The sequence below is a fragment of the Homo sapiens genome, chromosome 14 (genome assembly GCF_000001405.40).
Source record: "Homo sapiens chromosome 14, GRCh38.p14 Primary Assembly".
In the NCBI taxonomy this organism is placed as follows: domain Eukaryota; kingdom Metazoa; phylum Chordata; class Mammalia; order Primates; family Hominidae; genus Homo; species Homo sapiens.
This window is the reverse complement of record NC_000014.9, coordinates 78,529,905-78,547,042: the sequence shown is the minus strand read 5'-3', so window position 1 is coordinate 78,547,042 and position 17,138 is coordinate 78,529,905. Positions and strand designations below refer to the sequence as shown.

At 39.9% G+C, this 17,138-nt stretch overlaps 1 protein-coding gene across 52 annotated transcripts in view, besides 1 other annotated feature; it reads right to left on the bottom strand.

Annotated features, from left to right (window-relative positions):
- NRXN3 (neurexin 3) overlaps positions 1-17,138 on the bottom strand; it is a 1,697,919-nt gene that overhangs the window by 1,321,249 nt on the left and 359,532 nt on the right. The window lies entirely within an intron of this gene.
- Positions 16,710-16,910: a silencer, noted in NCBI's record as "peak2214 fragment used in MPRA reporter construct". NCBI's record gives its function as "represses an SCP1 promoter by STARR-seq MPRAs in K562 erythroleukemia cells {active_cell/tissue: K562}" and the evidence as "EXISTENCE:reporter gene assay evidence [ECO:0000049][PMID:32103011]".

The window sequence follows — 17,138 nt, the reverse complement described above, 5'->3', positions numbered from 1 at the left end:
AAAAGTAATGTAATTCAGTGGGAAAAGAGTGGCTTTTTTCATAAATAGTCCTGGCCTAACAAATAAGAGGAACTATAATAAGAGTGGATTTCAGTGCCAGATTCCCAGAGTTCAAATCCCACATTCACCACTTGACCTCCTCTGTGACCTTTGGGCTAATTACTCAATTTTTTTGTGCCTCATTTTCCTCAAGTGTAAAATGGATATGGTAAGAAAACCTATGTCTCAGAGTTGTGAGGGACAAGGCCAAGTCAGCGATGCAATATGTGGAAAGTGCCTATATAACAATGCTTACCACATAGCAGCAGTAAGTGTTAGCTATTGTTATTATCATTATCATCAGGAACAAAGTAAACATGGACCTCTAGCATCTATAAACACAAAAATAAATTTCTAAATGGATTAAGATTTAAATATAAAAAATGAAAACAAAGATTTAAAAAGAATCTTAAAAACTAAACACACTTTTTAAAGGTGGGGACGGGGAAAACATTCTCTACGAAGACTGGAAATTAGAAGATGTGAAAGTTAAAAACAGACATCTAACTACATTAAAAAGTAACATATTTGATGGCAAAATATACCCTAAACAAGGTAAACAAATATTACTATGGAAAGACAAGAAAAAGACAAATATCTCCATTGTAGAAACAAGAAGTCATGAATAGCCCATTTACAGAAGTGCTCAGCTAAATGGCCTACAAACAAATGCAAAAATGCTCAGATTCACTAACAGTCCGAGAAATGCAAATTAAAATAACAATGAAATATCACTTTACACTTCTCAGCTGGCACAATTTAAAAAAGCAATAATTCGTATCACTATCAGGGATGTGTGAAAAGGGTGTGCTCATACATTGCTTGAGTATGTGAAGTGTTACAATGTTTTGAAAAGCCATATGACAGTATTTGTTCATATTTAAAATACATATCCTCTTCTATTTATCAACCCCATTCCTGGACTGCACCAGATATAAAAGCACCAGTGCAAATACACAATGATATTTATTGCAACATTGTGCATGGTAGAAAAAAGTAAGATGGAAATAAAATTATAATTTACAGGAAGGAGAATACCACATATATAACATATCATCAGACTGGAATATTATGCACCCATTAAAAAGAGTGAATTAGAGCACTGCCTTTTGATATGAAAAAATTTTTATAAAGTAATGTTGAGCAACAGAAGCAAAATATAGAAAGAGAAACACAGGACTGATTCCAGAAAGTAGAGTTCCTGAGGGAAAGAGGAAAAAGAGATTGCAAAGTGGCACACAGCAGGTTCTAAGGCACTGGTAATTCCCTATTTCTTTAATGCAGTGGGTAGATAGACATACTACAAATGTTTGCTTCATTATTATTTAAAGTACCTAAATATGTTTTAAACTTTTTTGTATTTATTCTATGATGCACAATAGTGTTCTTCTAAAAAGAAAATCAAGATGCAAAATAAGTATATAATATCCCATTTTATAAAACAATGACCTGAAAAACTTGTATACATTTCTATATGTATAAATTATATGTGTATAGAGAAAAATGTGCCAGGATTTATACTAGGTTATTAATATGAACTATCTTGGAGTAGAGTTAGGGGACCAACATGGACAAAAAGGAGAAGAGGGGAGACATCAAACAAAAATGGAAAGAAAAGAATACACTTAGGAAAATGTACTGAAATCATATGTACACATTTATGTAAAGTTGTTTGTGTGTGTGTTTAAAGTAAATTAAGAAACAAAATTTGAAATCAAAAGAGAATTGAGAGAGGAGCCTAGGTCTTGCCCTCAGAAACCACCTTCCTATGTTTCCTTTTGACCTCAGAGCACAGGGTGCCAGTTAGCAATGCACCCTATTGCTCCTGTCAGTTCTGGTTCTCCCAGACTGTCCACCTTCCTTCTAAAATTTACAAGAGAACAACCAGTTCATCAGTACTACCAAGGTTAAATTACATCTATAGGAATGCCAATAAAACAACATCTAAAACTATCATGAAAGAAGAAACCAATGGAAATGAATTTTAAAGCTAATCAGGCTCTGCTGCAGCCTGAGAAAGTGCAATAACAAAAGAATGCTTAGTTGCCAAATTGAGAACCCAACTCCTGTTTATTCCCAGAATCTCCCTGCTGTCTCTTGGGCAAACCTCTCCCCAGTCACCTCTCTGTTGCCACCTCTACCCATGCTGTAGATGGAACAAGTTGCAAGCAAAAGTTCCTAATATTTCAGATTTGGCAGGTCATGCATGTGTACCCTCCCAAGAAGATTGCAACTCTATGCAGTCCTCATGAGCACATCCTTCTCTGAACTATTTTTCTTTTCCAGTAATGTGTTGCCAGAGAGCTGGATGATGTGAACAAGTTTGAAGTAAGAAGGAATACATTTCAGTCTATTAACTATGGGACCCTGGTCAAGTCACGCAGCCTCTATGAGCCTTAACTTACTTGTTAGTAAAAGCATGAATTCCACCATGTAAGTTATATAAAGTCTAGGGCTATTTGGGAATTGAATAAAATAGCCCATTTGAATGGACTTTTCCCGATTATAAAGTTCAACTCTCCATCAGCATTTCCCCATCCTTTTGATCCATGGAAATAAGTACTCAGGCAGGGGTTTGTTCACTTTGATGTCCATGGTGCTACTTTTCACTGTGGGCAGCTAAGTGACCTACATAGGGATCAAATCCAGCACTTTGGCTTCATTTATTAACACTGCATGCCTACAAGTTAAGATTACCATGGTCTCAGTGAGGAGAGATGCTAGAATGGAGAAGGTGTATGAGACACCTCTTGTGCCCTCATATCCTCTCTGTTCACTTTTGCATGCCAGCTGCTGCAAAGAGGTGCCTTTGGTATAACTTGATAGCATTTGCCTGAGCTGTATCATGTATCTCTCATGGTGTGCCCCAGGGCTCCTCTGCTATCAGCATGCAGGAAGCCTGTGGGAACCTGCAGGGCATCTGAGTAAACCTGGAAATGTAAGACAGTTAATGCCCCATGAAGTAATCCTTGGCCAAGGGGAAATGGGAACAGTAAATACATTCTGCCTTATTCCATCTTTCAGGCAGAGAGTTTTAATATTCATTCTATGCACCTCCCAAGAGAGTCCCTAGTGGCACTGAGCCTCAGTGGTCCATCATAATATTCTGTATGATAGAAAACACACCCTTGATTCCGGCTTTGACTTTTTTGTTGTTTTACTCTACCCTGAAGAGGCTACCTGCACTCAAGACCCTTTTGAAGGAAACTAGGCTAGGATTAACGAAATGAGAAATAATTCCCATAAAAGCATTGATATCCAAAGAAAAACAAACATGTAACAATAACAACAACAACAAAGTCAACAGCAATGTAATAAAAGGCCAGATTGCAAAATGGATAACTCATCACTGAGGTCAGCCATGGATTACTCTGCAGTGTTTATCTTAACCTCACTAAATTGGGTAATGCCAACTCTCTCCAACCTCCCTGTACCTCCACAGACCCCCACCAAGAGAGATGCTATGCTTATTTAAGGGTGAGTTCTGGATCCCAAGGCTCCAAGTCTCAGCTCACCTGAGACCCCAAGGAGCACCATTATTGCAATTGATATGATTAGTGCTCAAAAACACTTCTGCAACAATTGTTAGCACTGAAATTGGACATCAAGCTGAAGCAGTTTTCAATATGTTGAGGACACCTGTTAAAATCCAAAAGCTCAAGACTTCCTCTCTAGAAAAGTGTACATATGCATTAAGTTTTACATAAAATATCAGGAGGTTTATGGACTTTATGGACTTCATTTATGATCTCAGATCATGAATGCATCAATTCATACAAATTTAGAGATTATAGGAAATGGACATCTAGCCATATTGCCTCTACCCTTCCCAGGCCTTACCTGGTGCTCAGATAACCATCACCTTGAATCAGGGCAGCCAGCTTAAGAAAATCCCTAATTAAACCAACACTATAAAGTCTGAGTACCTATGAGGCTACAGTGGCCCTCTAAATCTCATAGTATGCCAGATATCCCCACTTCTACCCCACCTAAAGTGACCTCAAGCCCTAAGTTTAGTTCTGGAATCAATGTGATGATCCTCTCCTACCCACCCTGTCTCAAATCCACAAAGTCCTCTGACAAAATCAGTCAGATGACATTCCCATAGCCCCTACCAACTCAAGCACTCCAACAGGTATTTAGAAAGGTATTATTTTAAGAAAAGAAATCTGGAGTGGGTATTCCAAGATGGCCAAATAGTAACAGCTCCAGTCTGCAGCTCCCAGTGTGATCGATGCAGAAGATGGGTGATTTCTGCATTTCCAACTGAGGTACCTGGTTCATCTTACTGGGACTGGTTAGACAGTGGGTGTAGCCCATGGAGGGCAAGCTGAAGTAGGGTGGGGCATCGCCTCACCCAGGAAGTGCAAGGGGTCAGGGGATTTCCCTTTCCTAGCCAAGGGAAGCCATGACAGACTACCTGGAAAAAACGGGACACTCCCGCCCAAATACTGCACTTTTCCCAAGGTCTTAGCAACTGGCAGACAAGGAGATTCTCTCCTGTGCCTGGCTCGATGGGTCACACACCCACAGAGCCTTGCTCACTGCTAGCGCAACAGTCTGAGATTGAACTGCAAGGTGGCAGCCTGGCTGGGGGAGGGGCATCTGCCATTGCTGAGGCTTGAGTAGGTAAACAAAGTGGCCTGGAAGCTCAAACTGGGCAGAGCCCACCACAGCTCAAGAAGGCCTACTGCCTCTAGACTCCACCTCTACACTCCACATCAGCTATGGGCAGGGCACAGCTGAAGAAAAGGCAGCAGACAACTTGTGCAGACTTAAACGTCCCTGTCTGACAGCTCTGAAGAGAGCAGTGGTTCTCTCAGCACAGTGTTTGGGCTCTGAGAATGGACAGACTGCCTCCTCAAGTTGGTCCCTGACCCCCGTGTAGCCTAACTGGGAGACACCTCCCAGTAGGGGATGACAGACACCTCATATAGGCAGCTGCCCCTCTGGAACGAAGCTTCCAGAGGAAGAATCAGGCAGCAATATTTGCTTTCCTGCAGTATTTGCTGTTCTGCAATATTTGCTGTTCTGCAATATTTGCTGTTCTGCAGCCTCTGCTGGTGATACCCAGGCAAACATGGTCTTGAGTGGACCTCCAGCAAACTCCAATAGACCTGCAGCTGAGGGACCAGACTGTTAGAAGGAAAACTAACAAACAGAAAAGAATAGCATCAACATCAACAGAAAGGTCATCTACACCAAAACCCCATCTGTAGGTCACCAACATCAAAGACCAAAGGTGGGATGAAAGCACAAAGGTGGGGAGAAACCAGAGCAGGAAAGCTGAAAATTCTAAAAATCAGAGTGCCTCTTCTCCTCCAAAGGATCACAGCTCCTCACCAACAACGGAACAAAGCTGGATGGAGAATGACTTTGACGAGTTGACAGAAGTAGGCTTCAGAAGGTCGGTAATAACAAACGTCTCCAAGCTAAAGGAGGATGTTAGAACCCATCGCAAGGAAGCTAAGAACCTTGAAAAAATATTACATGAATGGCTAACTAGAACAAACAGTGAGAGAAGACCTTAAATGACCTGATGGAGCTGAAAATCATGGCACGAGAACTTCATGATGCATACACAAGTTTCAATAGCTGATTCAATCAAGTGGAAGAAAGGGTATCAGTGATTGAAGATCAAATTAATGAAATAAAGCAAGAAGACAAGGTTAGGGAAAAAAGAGTAAAAAGAAATGAACAAAGCCTCAAAGAAATATGGGAGTATGTGAAAAGACCAAATCTACGTCTGATTGGTTTCCCTGAAAGTGATGGGGAGAATGGAACCATGTTGGAAAACACTCTTCAGGATATTATCCAGAACTTCCCCAACCTAGCAAGGCAGGCCAACATTCAAATTCAGGAAATATAGACAACATCACAAAGATACTCCTCAAGAAGAGCAACCCCAGACACATAATTGTCAGATTCACCAAGGTTGAAATGAAGGGAAAAGTGTTAAGGGTAGCCAGAGAGAAAAGCCGAGTTACCCACAAAGGGAAGCCCATGAGAGTAACAGCAGATCTCTCAGCAGAAACATTACAAGCCAGAAGAGAGTGGAGGCCAATATTCAACATTCTAAAATAAAAGAATTTTCAACCCAGAATTTCATATCCAGCCAAACTAAGCTTCATAAGTGAAGGAGAAATAAAATCCTTTACAGACAACCAAACACTGAGAGATTTTGTCACCACCAGACCTGTCTTACAAGAGCTCCTGAAGGAAGCACTAAACATGGAAAGAGACAACTGGTACCAGCCACTGCAAAAACATGCCAAATTGTAAAGACCATTGATGGTATGAAGAAACTGCATCAATTAATGGGCAAAATAACCAGTGAATATCATAATGACAGAATCAAATTCACACATAACAATATTACCCTTAAATGTAAATGGGCTAAATGCCCCCAATTAAAAGACACAGACTGGCAAATTGGATAAAGAGTCAAGATCCATCAGTGTGCTGTATTCAGGAGACCCATCTCATGTGCAAAGATGCATATAGGCTCAAAATAGAGGAATGGAGGAAGATCTACCAAGCAAATGGAAAGCAAAAAAAAAAAAAAAAAGCAGGGGTTGCAATCCTAGTCTCTGATAAAACAGACTTTAAACCAACAAAGATCAAAAGAGAAAAAGAAGGCCATTATATAATGGTAAAGGGATCAATTCAACAAGAAGAGCTAACTATCCTAAATATATATGCACCCAATGCAGGAGCACCCAGATTCATAAGGCAAGTCCTTCGAGACCTACAAAGAGACTTAGACTCCCACACAATAATAATGGGAGACTTTAAAACCCCACTGCCAATATTAGACAAATCAATAAGACAGAAGATTAACAAGGATATCCAGGACTTGAACTCAGCTCTGCAACAAGCAGAACTAATAGACATCTACAGAACTCTCCACCCCACATCAACAGAATATACATTCTTCTCAGCACCACATCGCGCTTATTCCAAAATTGACCACATAATTGGGAGTAAAGCACTCCTCAGCAAATGTAAAAGAACAGAAATCACAACAAACTGTCTCTGAGACCACAGTGCAATCAAATTAGAACTCAGGATTAAGAAACTCACTCAAAACCACTCAACTACATGGAAACTGAACAACTTGCTCCTGAATGACTACTGGGTAAATAACAAAATGAAGGCAGAAATAAAGATGTTCTTTGAAACCAATGATAACAAAGACACAACATACCAGAATCTCTGGGACACATTTAAAACAGTGTGTACAGGGAAATTTACACTAAATGCCCACAAGAGAAAGCAGGAAGGATCTATAATCGACACCCTAACATTACAATTAAAAGAACGACAGAAACAAGAGCAAACAAATTCAAAAGTTAGCAGAAGGCAAGAGATAAGTAAGATCAGGGAAGAACTGAAAGAGAAAGAGACACAAAAAACCCTTCAAAAAATTAATGAATCCAGGGGCTGGTTTTTTGAAAAGATCAACAAAATTGATAGATCACTAGCAAGACTAATAAAGAAGAAAAGAGAGAAGAATCAAATAGATGCAATAAAAAAAAGGGGATATCACCATTGATCCCACAGAAATACAAACTACCATCAGAGAATACTATAAACACCTCTATGCAAATGAACTAGAAAATCTAGAAGAAATGGATAAATTCCTGGACACATATACCCTCCCAAGACTAAACCAGGAAGAAGGTGAATCTCTGAATAGACCAATAACAGGCTCTGAAATTGAGGCAATAATTAATAACCTACCAACCAAAAAAAGTCCAGGACCAGATGGATTCACTGCCAAATTCTACCAGAGGTACAAAGAGGAGCTGCTAGCATTCCTTCTAAAACTATTCCAATCAATAGAAAAAGAGGGAACCCTCCCTAACTCATTTTATGAGGCCAACATAATCGTGATACCAAAGCCTGGCAGAGACACAACAAAAAAACAGAATTTCAGACCAATATCCCTGATGAACATCAATGCAAAAATCCTCAATAAAATACTTTCGAACTGAATCCAGCAGCACATCAAAAAGCTTATCCACCATGATCAAGTCAGCTTCATCCCTGGGATGCAAGACTGGTTCAAGATACACAAATCAATAAACGTAATCCATCACATAAACAGCACCAACAATAAAAACCACATGATTATCTCAATAGATGCAGAAAAGGCCTTCCACAAAATTCAACAGCCTTTCATGCTAAAAACTCTCAATAAACTAGGTATTGATGGAACTTATCTCAAAATAATAAGAGCTATTTATGACAAACCCACAGCCAATATCATACTGAATGGGCAAAAACTGGAAGCATTCCCTTTGAAAACTGGCACAAGACAGGGATGCCCTCTCTCACCACTCCCATTCAACATAGTGTTGGAAGTTCTGGCCAGGGCAATCAGGCAGGAGAAAGAAATAAACTGTATTCAATTACACAATGAGGAAGTCAAATTGTCTCCATTTGCAGATGACATGATTGCATATTTAGAAAACCCCATCGTCTCAGCCCAAAATCTCCTTAAGCTGATAAGCAACTTCAGCAAAGTCTCAGGATACAAAATCAATGTGCAAAAATCACAAGCATTCCTATACACCATTAACAGACAAACTGAGAGCCAAATCATGAGTGAACTCCCATTCACAATTGCTACAAAGAGAATAAAGTACCTAGGAATCCAACTTACAAGGGATGTGAAGTACCTCTTCAAGGAGAACTACAAACCACTGCTCAATGAAATAAAAGAGGATACAAACAAATGGAAGTACATTCCATGCTCATGGATAGGAAGAATCAATATCGTGAAAATGGCCATACTGCCCAAAGTAATTTATAGATTCAATGCCATCCCCATTAAGCTACCAATGACCCTTTCTTCACAGAATTGGAAAAAAACTACTTTAAAGTTCATATGGAACCAAAAAAGAGCCCGCATTGCCAAGTCAATCCTAAGCAAAAAGAACAAAGCTGGAAGCATCATGCTACCTGACTTCAAACTATAGTACAAGGCTATAGTAACCAAAACAGCATGGTACTGTTACCAAAACAGATATACAGACCAATGAAACAGAACAGAGGCCTCAGAAATAACACTACACATCTACAACCATCTGATCTTTGACAAACCTGACAAAAACAAGAAATGGGGAAAGGATTCCCTATTTAATAAATGGTGCTGGGAAAACTGGCTAGCCATATGTAGAAAGCTGAAACTGGATCCCTTCCTTATACCTTATACAAAAATTAATTCAAGATGGATTAAAGACTTAAATGTTAGATCCAAAACCATAAAAACCCTAGAAGAAAATCTAGGCAATACCATTCAGTACATAGGCATGGGCAAGGACTTCATGACTAAAACACAAAAAGCAATGGCAACAAAAGCCAAAATAGGCAAATGGGATCTAATTAAACCAAACAGTTTCTGCATGGCAAAAGAAACTACTATCAGAGTGAACAAGCAACCTACAGAATGGGAGAAAATTTTTGCAACCTACCCATCTGACAAAGGGTTAATATCCAGAATCTACAAAGAACTCAAACAAATTCACAAGAAAAATCAAACAACCCCACCAAAAAGTGGGCAAAGATATGAACAGACACTTCTCAAAAGAAGACATCTATGCAGCCAATTAATAGACACATGTAAAAATGCTCATCATCACCAGTCATCAGAGAAATGCAAATCAAAACCACAATGAGATAGCATCTCACACCAGTTAGAATGGCAATCATTAAAAAGTCAGGAAACAAAAGATGCTGGAGAGGATGTGGAGAAATAGGAATGCTTTTACACTGTTGGTGGGAGTGTAAATTAGTTCAACCATTGTGGAAGACAGTGTGGCAATTCCTCAAGGATCTAGAACTAGAATTATGATTGGACCCAGCAATCCCATAACTGGGTATATACCCAAAGGATTATAAATCATGCTACTATAAAGACATATGCACATGTATGTTTATGGTGGTACTACTCACAATAGCAAAGACTTGGAACCAACCCAAATGTCCATCAATGATAGACTGGATTAAGAAAATGTGGCACATATACACCATGGAATACTATGCAGCCATAAAAAAGGATGAGTTCATGTCCTTTGCAGGAACATGGATGAAGCTGGAAACCATCATTCTCAGCAAACTGTCACAAGGACAGAAAACCAAACACTGCATGTTCTCACTCATAGGTGAGAATGGAACATTGAGTTCACTTGGACACAGGCCGGGGAACATCACACACTGGGGCCTGTCATGGGTGGGGGGCTGGGGGAGGGATAGCATTAAGAGAAATACCTAATGTAAATGATGAGTTGATGGGTGCAGCAAACCAACATGGCACATGTATACCTATGTATCAAATCTGCACGTTGTGCACATGTACCCTAGAACTTAAAGTATAATAAAAAAAAAAAAGAAAAATAATCTGTAGGTCTCAGGCATGTTTATTTCAATCTACATATTAAGCCTCAGACCAGCTAGAGCTAGTTCTATTATAACCAGTTCTGTACAATATAATACAAATCCTGGTATCGAGATCTACTTATGATAATTCACCATAAACATCACTGGGCTGGCTTACTAGAGTAGCCCCATGCCTTAGTTTGGGTTTCCTCAGAAGCAAACCTTCAGACCAAGAGTGAAGTGCAGGTAGATTATTAGGAACGTGATGCGGGGATGTGACCTACAGACGGGGCAAGAGCCAGCTACTATCTAGGGAAAATGGAATTTTAGCTCACTGAGGAAGGTCTAGGAGCCAGTAGAAAACAACACCAGCCATTGTTTGATGAACACTGAGGAAAGAGGACATTAATTTCTCTGCACTTCTGGTCTATAGCACAGGATACAAAGCAGATCCATTAGCAAAGAGCAAGCCCCCAGGCAGAAAAATGCATGCCTGATCGAAGTTGCATTGACTTGGTGAGAATAAGGGAATATGGGAGGGGTTCTGACCACAACTGTCATGCCACGAAACACTCTCAGACCCCATTTTTTGCTTTAAGAATTAGGAATCATGAGTCTGATGAGAACGTTGAGCAGAATAGAACACATGGCTTCACACGATTAAAAAAAAAGTCTCTTGGGAGTATCATAAATCATAGCTAAGCTCTACCCAACATCAATGGCATCCCACCACAAATAGCATTTCTTGGTTCTTACTAATGGCAAGATGTGGCACTAGGCACTTACATAGACATTTTCTTACCTAATTCTCAGAACTGTTCTATATTAAGCATGATTATCCATTTTTTAATAGATTTGGAAAATGGTGAGTTTGAAAGTTCAAGTTGCTTTACCCAACACAATACAGACAGTAAGAAACGAATACAGGATTTAAGTGTCTAAGTGCATCCTCTTTCAACTACATCATATCATCCTTCGGACTTTTTAGTCTTTTCCTCCTCCTCTTTCTCTCATAGAGAATATTGATGGAGCCCTGGCTACATGCTAGGCCTTGAAGTAAGCACTATCCAATTAAGTGTCACAAAAACCATGTGACCTATAACTACATCTTGGAATACTTAAGTAGCTTCTTAAAACCACAAATTAGTAAAGTGGCAAAGTCAGGACCAGAAATTAGGTCTTTCTAACACCAAAGTTCTATCCTTTTACTATTAAACTATTTTACTGCATAATCCTAAGAATAACATAGGTATGAATGGGGAGGTGCCTGTTATCAAAATCAATTTGCCACATAATCCAGAGTGAAACTAAGCCCCAAGTTCAACAGACTTCTTCCTTTCCCCTCCCCACTCTCCCTCCAGGACTTTGCCCAGTAAACAGAGAAGCAGAGTCTTAGATATCTTCATATTTGGCAGAAGCAGGGCAGCTCAGTTGTCAGTTTCACTCTACCTGAGGGAAATGGAAGGCTTTTTTTTTTTTTTCAATTAAAAGATAAGACAGAAACATTTCAAGGAATTGCCTCTCATTTTCTTGTATTATTGCTCTAATTTGCTCATTACACACAATTATTAATTGTGCTTTATTATAATTAGATGGTCTTTACTTATAACAAAGGAACAATCAGGTCTGTCCTTGTTTGTATTCCTTTGTGTACATACACATATGCGGAAGGGGAAAATACACCAATTTTAAAAGTGAAACTATTGTTAATGTACAAACAACTATTATCACTAAAAGTACATATAATTGCCTATTGCAAAAAATACTGCACAAATACAGGTTGAGGAGCACCTGTTTCTGGTAAGCAGCAATGAAAAGAAAAAAGGAGAATCTGAGGGTCCTAGGGGAATACCAAAGTGCTACCTTTTGTAAAGAAAAATGTAATCCCAGGAATGTTGAATGGCACTGTGGCACAGTGATAATCTCAGAACTCTACACCAGAATCTGGTTTAGAATTTTAAGTATAAAAGAGAAAGAGAGAGACTAAAAGCGTTCTGAGGAATGCCATAACAATGTTCTGAGCAAAAAAGGATCTAGAAATACATGTTAAAGAAATGAGGATGATAGTATCTGGCTGGCTGCTCTGCATCACCTTTTCTGCTTATTGCCCTGTAGATAGAATATTCGTTATAGATTGGGCAGCCATTCAGATGCACACTCATTCCACTTTCTGAATATGATTATGACATTCTTTAAAATCTTATTTTATACAGTTTACACATGCAAAAATTCAGTGTGGCCCTCACAGATCCACTGACGTCTGTCTGTGATTGACACTTCCTTACAACTGACAGCATTTATCTATAGTCATTATTGTCAGTGAACATTTTTTATTTATCTCAGTTTTGATATAAAATATCATCATAGGCTTAAAAGTCTCCACAGTAGATTCATGTTATTTAAGAGAGAGGCAGCAAAATCCATGTTGCCTCATTATCTCCCAATGGTGAAGACTGACTACAGACTTTCTAGAAGTCATTTGGTTTTAAATTAGTATTTACACAATTGGGGCAAATAGGCTGCAAAAGCTATCGTTAAAACTTTTTCAGCCCATTTCTCCCAAAGTGCACCATTACTTAATGGGGTGCACCATTACTTAATGGGGAAAAGCCTGAATTTCTTCAAACCTGCTCTAAATTTGTCATAAATACATTAAACTTAATTAAGCAGCTCATGTGTGTCAAGAACCTTGCCCAGTACTATAGAAAAAAATGATGTACTGAGTATGGAGGCACATTGAGGAAAAAAAATACAAAAACAGGTAACTCAGTACCATGAGTGCAATGGCCATAGTGGCCATATGCATGGTACTTTATACCAACAGAAAGGAAGGTGCTTCAACCTTGGTAACGGATGGAGAAAGTGAGTGCAGAAATGCGGGGAGGGCTTCCTGGAGAGATGATATCGAGCTGATTTTCAACAGATGACCACGAGTTAACTAAGAAAATAGGCAAATGCCAATATTGGCAAAGGGGAAGGCTCCCACAAACCGCAAACATGAGAAACAGCGTATCAAATACAGGGAACCACTAGCAACTGTGGGTGTTGTGGAGGGTGAACAGCAAGGTAAATGATGGTTGGAACAAAAAGCAGGAAAAATGGCAGGAGATGGATCGTGGACAGCCTTATACAGAAGATTGGACTATTACCCCACAGGAAATAGGAAGGTAACACAGATTTTAATCAGGTCAGCTTTGCATTTTACACAGTGAATATGAGTGAGGGTGTACACTAGTGATACAGGAGGATAAACAACTAGAAGAGAGCTGGAGGTTGGGAGGCTGAGGCGGGCGGATCACCTGAGGTCAGGAGTTTGAGACCAGCCTGACCAATGTGGCGAAACCCTGTCTCTACTAAAAATACAAAAATTAGCCGGGCGTGGTGGCTGTAGTCCCAGCTACTTGGGAGGCTGAGGCAGGAGAATCACCTGGAGGCAGAAGTTGCAGTGAGCCAAGATCGCACCACTGCACTCCACCCTGGGCGACAGAGCAAGACTCCATCTCAAAAAAAAAAAAAAAAAAGGCTGGAGGGAGAGAGAGAGAGATATCAGTTGGGAGACTGATGTAGTGGCATAGTAAGAAACAACAAAGCTCAGAATATAGGCAGTGGTAGCAGAAATAGAGAGGACAGGAAATTGAGAGCTGTTGAGGAAGAAAGTAATTAGAGCTTGATGGGTGTGGAAGATGTGACGTTTCTGAGACAGCTAGCTGAGATAGATAGTGGTGTCACATGCAGAAATGGTAAATACTCGAAGAATAGCAAGTTTGGTGGAAAAATAAATCATTGACCTAGGCATGATTCATTGGATGAAAAGAAAGATAATTCAGATTTCAATGAGTTGTGTAATGAATGATGATTTGGATACGAAGGAAAAAAAAAAGAAGAAGAAAGCGAAGATAAACAAAGATGGGAGCTAAAGAGATGTGGCGTCAAAGAAAGGATATTTGCTAGGTGGGAACACAGGAAAGATGATTCTAAGCTGACAGAATGAAGACAAGTAGAGAAGAGAGAGGGAGAGGTTGAAGATCATGTAGTGGGGTGGGGTGAGTGTGGAGAGAGAGAATGAATTATAGAGAAATCTCCTGAAAGATAGGAGAGAAGGAACTGGTCTTGAATGAGAGAAGTCATCTCTAAACCTGAAGAAAAGGAAATGAGAATTGGTGTGGAAGAAAGAATCTTTCTAAGGGGGCTGGAGAACTAAAACACACACACACACACACACACACACACACACACACACACACAAAATATCATCAATTTTCTTTTTCTTTTCTTTTCTTTTCTTTTTTTTTTTCTTTTGAGATGGAGTTTCGCTCTTATTGCCCAGGCTGGAGTGCAATGGCGCGATCTTGGCTCACCAGAACTTCCGCCTCCTGGGTTCAAGTGATTCTCCTGCCTCAGCCTCCCGAGTAGCTGGGATTACAGGCATGTGCCACCACGCGCGCACTTGGCTATTTTTTTTTTTTTTTTGTATTTTTAGTAAAGATGGGGTTTCTCCATGTTGGTCAGGCTAGTCTTGAACTTCCAACCTCAGGTGATCCACCTACCTCGGCCTCTCAAAGTGCTGGGATTACAGGCATGAGCCACCACGCCTAGCCAGTTTTCTCCATGAAGCAGGAATAAGGTTCTCCAATAAAACTTAGGGTTGAATAAGAAAAATAAAAAACTGGTGATATTTTGGAGCTGTCATTGAAGGAGATGGGATTGGGAGACCATCACAAAGCAGAAATGTTAACTGAAAATTCTGAAAGCATAAAACCTTCCCCCAAAAGCTTTACCTCCTAGAAAAGAAGCATAAAATAAACAGTCTCAAAGTGTCTACAGTTTCCCTAAGGACAAAAAGTAAGAAGGTTAAATAAAAAGTATTTGAGTACCTTTGGCCTCTACTGGCTACATCTTTATCTATCACTTAATGGAACTCCTTCCAATCTCATGGAGGGTCCCAAATACCGTGTCAGACTCTAAAAGGCCAACACAGGAGACACCAGCACATGCAAAAAAAAGGAAATGATACTCTGATTCAGTTCAGATTGGCACAGATGGATAGCAGAAGGTAACTGAGCTCTATCATGAGCCCTTTTGTAAAAAACAAAATGTAGATACTTCTGGGTAAAACTTGAATTCTCTCTCAGGCCAAGGTTTTGAGAAAATTGGTGGCTCAGGTAAAATTTCAGCTCCTGCCCTTCCATCAAGCAACATTAGTTGTAGCAATTCTCATTGTGGTATGCAAATACCCAGCCTGGGATAACTCTGAATTTCTGATCATAGCAATTAGACACTGAGAAGATTGACATGAAGTAAGTGTAGGAAGAAAACTTCACTCTCTCATTTCTCATTCCAAAGTAAGTGTAAGAAGAAAACCTCACCTCCAGGCCCAGGTCAAAGGGTAGGCTAACTCTGACATTTTGGCTAATCTCCATCAGCTCCTGTCCTAAGCTTCCTCATGAAAGTAGCCCAGGATGTCTATTGCCATGAGAAGAGGGCCAGCTCAGATTTGTGTGTAATGGCCATAAAAGGGGCAAAAAGAAAGAGACAGACTATGAAAAGTAAAGGTGCTTCAAGAAAATGAAGGAAAGGCATCAAAGATTAGAAAATAAATGAAAGTAGGGCTACTTACAGAGTCCAGGAGAAGACAAAGTGAGAGACCCAATAGTCAAGAAGCCACTTTGCTGTTCATCAGCAAAGCTCTGCATTTGAATACAGCTAATGAGTAGGGGAAAAAATGAGTTCTTAGGAAAGGCAGGGGTGGGGACAATGTATCACTTTGCTCCTAAAAGAATTTAACAGGCACTGAGAATTAGTCAATCTGGCTTTTGAATTTTACAGCCAAATACAGTAAAACCTGAAAGTTTGGGAAGGATTCATCCCCATGAATGTGTATGTTCCACTAGAAAAATCTTGGCAGAGTTTACCTGCTTTTGTAATTCTTGCCCTGGCAATAGTATGACCCAGCTTTTAGGTCAAGTCCTAAAACCAATGCTCCATGAACAACTGGGCCTACTCCTGTCTACACTTGGTTATCTGGAAGAGAGCCATACCTAGCATAAAAGACACCTCAGCCATCCGCAAGGGCACTGGTGGTTCCCCTGTTAAGCCAAACTCAGAAGAAGATATCAATTTCCAGGGCAACCCTTTTCCATCCTCCAGGCACCTGAAAAATAACTTGTAGAAGCCTAAGTGCCTTGACAACTGAAAATGCAATTTTTCCAAGGGAAAGGGGAAATAAAAAGGGTCTAAGTAAATTTCCTTCTGCTAAAGGGGGTGATTTTCACCACAGTGGCTGAGAGCCCTGTCCCAAACTGAGTAGTTCTTCATCCTGCTGTTCAGGGAGTGACAGATAAAAAGTAACCTGGTGCCTCTGTCCACGGTGCTGAAAATCTCCAAATAAGCTGACTCTGGGCCTGTTTAAAAAGGCGGAATTCACAGCCCTGGTGTCTGGAGGGCATAATTGTTTATCAGGCCACATGCAAAGGGCAGAGCTTTTTCTTTCTTTCTTTCTTTTATCTCTCTGATTAGCCAAGTCATGATTTTGCTATGAAATGTGGGGCTTTTGGCCACATTGAAAATTCCTATGTGAATTTTAGAAGATGCCAAACTTGGAATTAATTAAATTGCACTGTATAAATATTTATTAATTCAACAAGTATTATTGACTTCCTATTTGTACAGCAGAGAACTATGCTAGTGCTAAATATTCAGTGCAGAGCAAAGCCAGG